The sequence below is a fragment of the Homo sapiens genome, chromosome 1 (assembly GCF_000001405.40).
Source record: "Homo sapiens chromosome 1, GRCh38.p14 Primary Assembly".
In the NCBI taxonomy this organism is placed as follows: domain Eukaryota; kingdom Metazoa; phylum Chordata; class Mammalia; order Primates; family Hominidae; genus Homo; species Homo sapiens.
Window position 1 is genome coordinate 157,861,817 of NC_000001.11, and position 11,479 is coordinate 157,873,295.

At 40.4% G+C, this 11,479-nt stretch overlaps 1 annotated feature.

Moving 5' to 3' along the window:
* Positions 6,743-7,389: an enhancer, noted in NCBI's record as "OCT4-NANOG hESC enhancer chr1:157838349-157838995 (GRCh37/hg19 assembly coordinates)". NCBI's record gives its function as "activates a minimal SCP1, AML or CMV promoter by ChIP-STARR-seq in primed H9 embryonic stem cells {active_cell/tissue: H9 hESC(primed)}" and the evidence as "EXISTENCE:reporter gene assay evidence [ECO:0000049][PMID:30033119]".

Sequence of the window (11,479 nt, forward strand, 5' to 3'; positions counted from 1 at the left end):
TGGGAGACTAAGGCGGGCGGACCACTTGAGGCCAGGAGTTCGAGAGACCAGCCTGGCCAACATGGTGAAACCTCGTCTCTACTAAAAATACAAAAAAAAAAAAAAATTAGCCAGGCATGGTGGCAGGCGCCTGTAGTCCCAGCCACTTCGGAGGCTGAAGCAGGAGAATCACTTGAACCCGGGAGGCAGAGGTTGCAGTGAGCCAAGGCCACGCCACTGCACTCTAGCTCAGGTGACAGAGTGAGACTCCATCAAAAACAAAAACAAAAACAGGAGATGGATGATGGATGGTGATCATGGTTGCACAAAAAGGTGAATGTGCTTAATGCCACTGAACTGTATACTTAAATGGTTAAGATGGTAAATTTTGTTTTACTACAATGAAAAATTTGTTGAAAGTAAAAAAAAAAAAAAATCCTCCATAGCTGATAGGATGGTGTAAATTCATTTCTGAAAAGTTGGCTCTGCCTCTCATAATAAGTTCAAGGATCCATTATAGTAGAATGCCCTCTGCTGTTACAGATAAAACTTATTTTTTTCTTTGAAAGATAAAGCTCAGCTGCTGACCCACCCAGGTGAGGGCTTCTGCTGGTTATTACTTTGCCCCTGTTCCTAGGTGATCCATATAGGGTCATCCTGGTTGTACGCTGCACAATTCCAGCAGAGTCAGTCAGTCCCATTGAGCACAATGTGAATGGTACCTACCCCAACTTCCCTAGGAGGTGTACATGGCACAAACTGCACAGCAGAATATGGTGTTCTGAGGCTACCCCTATTGTGAATGAGGACAAAGAAGAACGTGAGTCATGCCTAGTCACTACCTAAGTCTTCCGTGTGCACTTCCTCCTGCTTGAGTCCCAATCTTTTGCAAGGCCTGGAGTCCTAGCTCTACCACCTGGACATGATTGTTTTCCAGTATTACAGTCTTCTTGGGATCAGCCTGCTTCCACAGGACTGTCAAACTATCCGGGGTCTTGCTATAGATAGGATTTCAGGAATGTTTCTTCTGGGGAGTAGTCTGAATGGGTCATGGCCAATGACTCAGGTAAGGGGGCAGTGTTTCATGAATTCATTCAGCATTAATTCAGCACCTGTTAGGTGCCTTCGACTATGCTAAGATGTAGCAATTATATGGAGAATGTGATGAGATACGGCACTGGAGAAAGTTCCCACTGTAATCAGACAGGGACTTTAATAGAGTAGATAGACCAGATAAAGGGTAGAAATTTATGCCAAGCTTTGCTTAGGTACACTGAAACTGAAGAGCTGGTGGGACATCCCTTCAGATGCTGATTTTGTATAGAGTTTTAAGAGTTTCTTGGCTAAGAAGTTAACCTGTGCCCACTGCTGGGATTCAGCTAACTGGCATTTCCAGCGGAGTGATGAGACAGAAGTCTATTTACACACTTTATTCCTCTTTATGATCTAAATACATGTTGTTCTCTCTGTTGTTTCATTCTTCTTCATTTTACCTTCACAGAACTAATTAGTCCATGTAAAAAAGGAAGACAAAAAATCACTAAGGATGTAGAAAATGAACAGTACTATCAATTAACTTTACTTAATATTTATATAACACTACATTCAGCAAATGTAGAATGTATATTTCAAGTGGATACAGAATATATTCAAGACACATTCATTTTATGGTCCGTTAATTAAGTATCAAAGGATTTTAACCAAATTTCCTGCAAAGGAGATTTGTAGGAAACCTCCGCCTCCCAGGTTCAAGCAATTCTCCCTGCCTCTCAGGCTACCAAGTAGCTGGGATTACAGGTGCCTGCCACAACACCTGGCTAATTTTGTATTTATGTATTTATTTAGACAGAGTCTCGCTCTGTCGCCCAGGCTGGAGTGCAGTGGCGCGATCTCGGCTCACTACAAGCTCCGCCTTCCGGGTTCACGCCATTCTCCTGCCTCAGCCTCCCAAGTAGCTGGGACTACAGGCGCCCACAACCACGCCCGGCTAATTTTTTGTTTTTTGTTTGTTTGTTTGTTTGTTTGTTTTTGAGACGGAGTCTTGCTCTCTCTCCCAGTCTGGAGTGCAGTGGCATGATCTCTGCTCACTGCAAGCTCCGCCTCCCGGGTTCACGCCATTCTCCTGCCTCAGCCTCCCGAGTAGCTGGGAGTACAGGGGCCCACCACCACACCCGGCTAATTTTTTTGTATTTTTAGTAGAGACAGGGTTTCACCATGTTAGCCAGGATGGTCTCCATCTCCTGACCTCGTGATCCACCAGCCTCGGCCTCCCAATGTGCTGGGATTACAGGTGTGAGCCACTGCACCCGGCCAATTTTTTGTATTTTTAGTAGAGATGGGGTTTCACCATGTTGGCCAGGCTGGTCTTCAACTCCTGACCTCAGGTGATCCGCCCACCTCAGCCTCCCAAAGTGCTGGGAATACTGGCGTAAGCCACCTCACCAGGCCCACAGTTCTTAATAATGCATGGATCAAAGAAAAAAACCCAAGGTGAATTAGAAATTAAAAACACGTGTCAAAAACTTGTGGAAAGCCACTAAAATGGTACTAAAAGGAAATTTCACAGTTTTAAATATGTATAAACAGAAAAGATTGCTAGAATTTATTATCTAAAATTCTACCTTAATGTAGTAAAAATTCAAGTAAACCCAAAATAATAGAAGAACGGTAACAATAAAGATAAGAGTTGGTATCAATTAAATAGAGCAAAACAACAATAGAAAATAATAGTAAATCTAAAATTGTTTGTAAAGATAACTAAAATTAATAAATCTCCAGCAAAATCAAAAAAGAAAATATTCACAAATTACTAATGCACTATCATACTAATGTAAGAATGCCCAGAGCTATGGATGTAAAAAGGATAATAAGGAATCATTGTGAACAACTTTATGTCAACAAATTCCATAACCTAGATGAAATAGGAAAGGTCTTCATTGTCCACAGCCACACTCTGTGTGGCCAGTGTCCACCTGCTGCTTCTTTCTTTTGGGCAGCATTTTTGTGGCTTCTTCAGAGATTTCCCCACCGGGATCTTTCACTTGCGATTCCCTGACATTGATGAAGCCTGCTATAGCCAGCTTACTTAGAACATTCCCCTTATCCCTTGACTGCCAGCGGACTTCCCCTCAACATGCCCTCTGCTGAAGTCACCTCATCCTGCATCCTTGTGGACAAGGTCACTTTCAAGATGATCCAGTCTGGTTCACAGTGAACCATAGGAAACACGCGCCTTTCCTGCCAAACTCTGAGTGAGCAGGTTATTCCTGATGCAGTTTCATCTTTGCATTCTGTTATTACAGGGGGGTTCATCCAGTTACTCACATTTAGACCCTTTCAAATGTAAGTCAGATACCAGTACCAGGGCCTTCCCAACTCCAAAAAGAATGCGGTCAGCTTTGTAAGAGATTTTCTGTAACCTCCATCATTTTGTTTGAGAGAAGAGGGTGGAAGATGACATAACATATACAAAACTCTCTTAAAAGTAATTCCTTACTACCAATCTATTCTTAGAAAATTCTTGTCCTCTTAAAAATCTAGAGGCTTATATGGCAAAAGGCAGTTTTCCAATCTCTTAGCATTTCCGACACAAATGGTCTATGATGTATTTTCTTGCACATTTGGTCTGGTACTTATTTTTCTAGGTGTGCCAAAACCTCAATACTGCACAGAATAAAAATCACAACTAAAATTTTATGAGAGCAGTATATATTTTATTAATTATAAGGAAAATATAGGAGAGTATTACACCACCTCCACCCACAACAAATGCCAAAATAAATACTCATTGAACATTTTGGTTCTCCCTAATGTTCTCCTCCACAATGTGATATAAAACTAGCATTGACCCTAAGCTTGACAAACAGATGATAGATAGGTAGGTAGGTAGGTAGATGATACATAGATAGATAGATAGATAGAAGATAGATACTGTGGTAGATAATTTTTCATCAGCTTTAATTGCCACTCATGATAGATTGCAGAAATAAAAACAAATCTATTCCTTCATGATGTGCAACATCTTTGCAGCTTCTCCCTTCAAAAGATGGAATTTTTCTTCACTCCTAGAATCTGGGCTGCCTTAATAACTTGCTTTGGCCAATAGGATGGTAGCGGACATGTTGCAAACAGAGCTGTGAAAAGCATTTTCCCATTTAGGGCTTGCCTTCTTGCTGCTCTGGGAAGCTCTGCTGTGAGGTGAACAAGCCCAAGCTAGCTACTGAATGATGAGAGACATGTTGCCCACCACCTGTCCCTGTCACCCCCAGCAGAGGTACCTAACTGTCCTACAGCTGACCACAGACCCATGAGTGAGTCCAGCTGAGAACAGAACTGTCCAACTGAGCCCAGTTCGGATTGCTGACCTATAGAGTTATGAGCTAAACAAACAGCAGTTGCTGTTAGTTGCTAAATTTTAAAGTAGTTGGCCACATAACAATAGATAACCGATATGCCAGTTTTACATACCCTTAAAATACGCTCTGTTTTCAAGTATGTTGAGGAAAGATGAATTATTTATTTACACTAAAAATTACAAGGGTACAAGGGGGCTATAAACAAATTATTTTCCTCTCATTATACCTACACTATAGCATTACTAAGTTCTGCCTCTCTTTACAGATTCTTTATCCTGACAGAAGAATCATGGTTCATTCATGAGTATCCTGTCGCTCTCTTTCCATACAGCCTAGCACAGTGATTGATATACAGTTGATAATCAACAAATATATGTTGACTAAATTAATGGTGTTTGAATAAAAATAAAAAGAGACTTATTCTAAGTATTGAGAAAATTAAGAATGAAAAGAGATAGAGCATATTCTTTGTCTTTTTCATCTTAAAGCTTAAATTTTCTTTCTACATTTATTTGTTCATGTATATAAAAAACACTAGGATCTCCTCCACATATTTTCAGCCTACAATTCATATTATTTCATATCTTTATTCCTCATTTCAAAAAGTGGTGGCATGCCCTGAAAAAGGTGGAGAAAGTCCTGATACAGGAAAGTGACAACTCCAGCCCAAACTATATGGAATAATAATAGTGTAGGTACACAGAAAATGACCTGAAGAATCTGGAAGAAGTGGACTTCAGATAGGACTAGAACAGAAAGTATTCTCTTTGTTAATGTGAGTAAGGAAAATCACCATTTTCTTAGCAAAGAAAGACTGGAATTAAGCATCAGAAACTGCTGTATCATATCCTTAGTTGCTACATAAAAGACATATTTGAATTACTCTATATACATTTCATTACAGAGCATAGATTTAACCACTTGTAATCAATTCTTTCATTGGAGGGGCATAACATTGACATAAGTCCCGACAACACCTCTGACACATCTCAATCCTGCAAAAGAGCCCTATTTGCTTTTTTCTTTCCTCTCATGAGCCCCTGTACTAAACAGTTTATTCTGGAGTAACCAGAACAGGAGCTTTTTAACACGAGAATGACTATCTTAAATAAGGTCTACATTGAGATTAAGGCCAGTCAAAGAACCCACTTGGGGTACCACAGGGGCTTAGGCAATCAAGATTAATAAATAACCTGAATACACCATGACACAGTGGGTGTATTCAGGAATTTGAGGGGGGTTTGACATTGGAAAATATGTTAATATAATTTACTGTATTAATAGGTTCAAGAAGATAAATATAATTGCCTTCATAAATGCTGAAAAAGTCTGATGAAACCCAACAGCCATTCCTCATAAAAGTCTCTTAAGAAAACAGGAATTTATAGATGCTTCCTTAACATGTTACAAGTATATTTATCTAAAATCTAAAACCAGAATCTTATTTAATGAGGAAATATTAAAAGTAGTTCCACTAAAGTCATAAAAAAAGCAAGAATTCTCACTATTTACCATTGTTCTGGAGGCATTATTTAAAGTAGTTTAAATAGAGAAAACAGATATATAAGACATAAACAAGAAAAAAAGGCTATTGATATCTACAGATAACATTATAGTACATCTGGAAAACATTAAGAATAAATGGTAAAGATAACACAATAAAATAATTTAAGAAAGTAACAAGATATAAAATTAACCTGCAAAATTAATAAAATTTATATACCCAAATAATGGCACGTATTGTTGGAATTATGTTATTAAAAACATAAAACGAAAAAAATTTAAACAGCAATAAAAACACATAACACTTAGAAATAAACTTAACATGTGTACACCAAAAGTATCTGAGACAGGTCTCAATCAATTTAGAAGTTTATTTTGCCAAGGTTAAGGACATACAACACAGCCTCAGGAAGTCCTGAGAACATGTGCCCAAGGCAGTCAGACTATAGTTTGGTTTTATATATTTTAGGGAGACATAAGACATCAATCAGTACAGCAGTCCCCAACCTTTTTGGTGCCAGAGACTAGATTCATGAAAGACAATTTTTCCATGGACCAGAGGGGTTGTGGGGATAGTTTGGGGATGATTTAAGTGCATTATATTTGTTGTGCACTTTATTTCTCTTATTATTGCATTGTAATATATAGTGAAATCATTATACAGCTCACCATAATATAGAATCAGTGGGACCCCTGAGCTTGTTTTCCTGCAACTAGATGGTCCCATATGGGGGTGATAGGAGACAGTGACAGATCATCAGGCATTAGATTCTCATAAGGTGTATGCAACCCAGATCCCGCTCATGTGCAGTTCACAGTAGAGTTCAAGCTCCTGTGAGAATCTATGGTCACTGCCGACCTGACAGGAGGCAGAGTTCAGGTGGTAATGCAAGTGATGGGGAGCAGCTATAAATACAGATGAAGCTTCATGTGCCTGCCTGCCATTCAACTCCTGCTGTGCAGCCCAGTTCCTAACAGGCCATGGAACAACACTGGTTGGGGACCCCTGAATCAATACATATGAGATATACATTGGTTCAGTCCGGAAAGGCAGGACAACTCAAAGTTTTGGGGAGGGCTTCCAGAACATAGGTGGATTCAATTCTTATTGGCAATTGGTTGAAAGAGTTTATTTAAAGACCTAGAATCAATAGAAGGGAGTGTCTGGGTTAAGATAGCAGTTGTGGAGACCAAAGGCTTTTTTTTATGCAGATGAAGCCTCCAAGTAACAGGCTTCAGAGAGAATCAATTGTAAATGTTTCCTCTCAGACTTGAAAAGGTGCCAGATTCTTAGTGAATTCTCTCCTGGATCAGGAAGGGGATTCTCTACAGAATATAGATTTTCCCCAAAAGAGACAGCTTGGCAGGTCCATTTTAAATATGTCAAAAAAATATATTTTGGGGTAAAATACTTTGATTTCTTTTAGGGACTATCATCTGTCATGTTGCTGTCTTATTGCTACAGAGTCTGCTTTGTCAGTCCTAAGGTCTCTGTTTTAATGTTAATGCTGGTTAGTTGTGCCTGAGTTCCAAAGGCAGGAGGGTATAATGAGACACATCTGACCACCCATTTCCATCATGGTTTGTACTCATGTTTAGGGTTAAATTTGGAATGCCTTCGGCCAAGAGGAGGGCTCCATTTAGTTGGTAGGGGTGGGGGAGGGATTTGAATTTTATTTTTGATTTACACAAGAGATGCTCAAAACCTAAAATCACAAAAGTACACTTGAGCAAGTGGGAAGACATTCTTATTTTTGGTTAGGCATCATCAAGCTAGACAAATTCACACTAAAGTTCTTATGAGAGAGAAGAGAGGACTTGTGCTGGAATGGTAAATGGCAGTGGAGAGTGTTTAGGGAGTGCTGGAGGGGGAAAATCATCCTTTTTCACTATTGCTTTAAAGATTGGCTCAGGAAATCAGTGGAATACCTGTGGGATGAAAGTTTGATGAGAAGCAGGATACTTGTTTGGTCTTAAAGTGTCTCCTCACAAATTTCTTACTAGGTGCAAGTGGGGGAAAGTGTAACTACAGTGAGGAGATAAAAGACAGCACCTTGACTACATAATGGAAACTGACATTGTCAGTGAGGGGCAGATGGACATCTTGAGCCTTGACTTGTGATACACTAAGGCAACAGCATCACGTATGTCATTTTCTTGCTGGGAATTCATGAGAAGCATCAGACAGATTCAAAATGAGAAACACCCTTTTCTTAAAAAAAAAAAAGATTCAAAGGAACAATATACCAATTTTATATATATATATATGCATATATACACCTGTGGAAATACTCCAGATTAAAGGAGACTAAGGAGACATAACAGTTAAATTACTGTAGACTGTATCCTCCACTGGATCCAGGAGGAAAAAAATGCTATAAAAACCATTATTGGGTCAATTAACAAAATTACAATACAGGTGATAGATTAGATAATTATTATCTCTTTATACCATTTCCAGCCTCTTTTCAAGAGGCAGCATTCTTCAATTGATAAAAGAGAAACTAGGACCTTGAAAAAAGAAAACATATTCCTCTGCACAGACAAGGTGGAGGAAACACATGTGGATACACAGAGAGGATTGGCAGAACCTGAAGAAGAGAAATGGGCTGAATAGAACAGATGGTTCTCTCAATCACGTAGATTAAAAAATCATCTCCTTGATGAGGAAGGTTTGAAGTTGCACAGTACAATATTCCCAAGGCTAAGTAGAGAGCGCTCATGAGTAAACTGTGTATGTGTCTCCTTACAGAGCACTTATTTCACCATTAACATAACATCACCTCTTCAGGTAGCTCTGCTTTACTCTCTTCTTGTGAGCCCCATACTGACTCATTTATTTTGACATTAACAGAATAAGGGCTTTTAACATGGAAATTTATATCTTTCACAGGGCCTTGGTTTAGAATTAGAGATGTCCAGGGAATAAACTTTGAATCACAGAAGGGCTAATTAAGGCTAATAAGCAGCAGGAAGCAAGCTGGCCTCCCTACTTTCTGCTCCTCTGAGGTGTGACTCTGTAAGCTACTTGCTTTACTGTCACTTTTGATTTCCCATTTAAAAGAGGAACATGAATGTGGATTAAGCAAGGCTACTTAAATATTTAATAAAAGGTGGAAATGAAAACTAATCACCCTAGCAAAATAAAAAAAGCATAAATCTAATCAACAGAACTACCAAAAAAGAGCCAAAATATGTTGTTCAAGGCCACACAGCTAGTAAGTGACAGAGTGGGAATTAGAACTAGGTCTACCTGACCCCAAAACCCAAAACTCATGCTCTTAGCCTCTGCACTATAATGCTGCCTTTTTTTTTTTTTTTTTTTTTTTTGAGACGGAGTCTCACTCTGTCACCCAGGCTGGAGTGCAATCTTGGCTCACTACAACCTTCACCTCCCAGGTTCAAGTGATTCTCCTGCCTCAGCCTCCTGAGTAGCTGGGATTACAGGCACCCACCACTATGCCCAGCTAATTTTGTATTTTTAGTAGAGACAGGGTTTCACCATGTTAATCAGGCTGGTCTTGAACTCCTGACCTCAGGTGATCTGCCCGCCTCGGCCTCCCAAAGTGCTGGGATTACAGGTGTGAGCCATCACGCAAGGCCAATGCTGCTTTTTAAATATGGTTCCAGGAAAGTTCAGAAAAGCATGGGTAGAAGTTCTACGGCAGAGCACACCAGGGACACAAGGACAACTAGGGACGGTTTTGCTGCCAGCAGGATGTGGGCAGCCAGTCCGGGTTCAGCCAGGGCACCCTGGATAGGCAGGCTTGCTGAGTTTGCTCCCTGTGGACTTCAGTCTTTGGGCTGCCATAACCTGTTCTCTGTCCTCTTGGATCCCTCATTGCAGATACCTAAAGGAAAGAAAACCATTGTGATTCTGTCATGACCCCAAGGGAGGCCACAGTGCAGGTGTCCTGTCTGCCTTGCAGCATCCACAAGGGTCCAGACTGACAGGGTCAGTGCTGGAGTTTTAACTCCTAAGTCCTTAGAACCTCCTTCCTGTGAGTGATTGGAAATTTTCTGCACTAATCAACCCTGAGATTTTATGATTTTAAAAAAGTATTAATAATAATCAGCCATCAGTAATAGAATATCTATAAATAGGCAATGTAACTAAACATTTACAGTCATAGAGAGCTCATGGCATCTGGGTCAACTTATTCTATCCTCAGTTTTTCTTCTGATGAGTTGACAGACAAATGTTTTCCTGTAATTTCCATATATAGGTAGAGATTTCTCTTCAGGAATTGCACAGAGCAAATTTAATGTAAGTGTCTAAAGACTGTGCTCATGCTCCCTGAACCCTAAGTCCTGAATCTGTTCCTTGTGTGACATAATATGGAGCTGCTTCTCCATCCTGGTCACTGTGAGGCATGGAGGTAGGTGAAAAAATGAGAACAACAGAAGAGAATCAAAGCTACTATCTACAAGTGTTTGCAGATGTGCACTGGAAAGAGCAACCAAACCCACAAGAATCTAGATCTATAGCTCATAGAAAGCATATAGCAGCCTAGGAGAGGCCTGGTCATTCTGATAACTACCTCAGAACATCAGGTTTTGCCTTCTCTAGCCTAGAAAGCATACCCCCAGTGACTCTCACCGGTAGGCCCCACCCAGCTCCAAGGCCAATCAATCCTAAGCAAGACAAGTGCATATTAAGAGCCTCATCTTGGTCAAGAAGGAATGAAATGAATCTTCCTGGACTAATACTATGGTGGTGGGCCTCCTGAACCACCTGAAACCTATTAGCTCTCATGTCTTTGACGATGCAAACTCCATCTTGACAGAGTACTTATTTCCTGCCTTGTTCCTCCTGAAGACACTAGTGCCTCTAACTCCCAGCCCACACAAGACAATGTGAACATAATGGATAAGAAGTAGAACCAAAGTTGGCATTTCTGGTGAGTCTAAAGGCTCAGTGATGTTCTTTCACAGCTAATACCTTCATTCAAGCATTCATTGATTCAGTAACCATTTATTGCATGCCAAGCACTGGGATTATAAGGGGGAACAACTCGGATGGTTTCCTGCTTTCAGAGTCCACAGCCTAGTATTTGACATATGCAATCCATAGACATTCAGGTGAAAGAAACTGTGCTTACAGGACTCTGGAAGTCCCCCACCACCTTTAGGTTACTGTAATTAGGCAATAACATAGCTACAACAACAAAAGAAAAGTTCATTGGGAGATAACATTAGCTCATCCCAAGTTTGGGCCAGGGGAGCTCCTGAGGACTGAAACTTTGGAAACTACTCAAAGAGACTCGGGGGCAGGGGCTTCACAATGATGCCAAACAGGAAAAATGGGGCTCATTTTTCATTAGAGTACACTGCAGGGCGTCTTCTAGCCTTTAGTGTGTGTCTTATATCAATGTTCTTCAGAAAACTGTCTACTTCCAGACAGATTTGGGCTCTTTCCCTAAAATCCCGCACCATTTGTCTCAGCTGGCAGAGCCTCCTGTTACTAACCTCATCTTAATTCCCTGAACCCCGTGGCTTCTGAAACTTCCACCTTCCCTCTCTTCCTGTCCTCTGTCTTAGAACTCATCATTGCCCAAAAATGCTTCTCCTCCGAAATATGAAATGCCACCAGCCAAACCTCTGAACATAGCTTCTCATTTCTTGAGCTTTTTAACACTTTC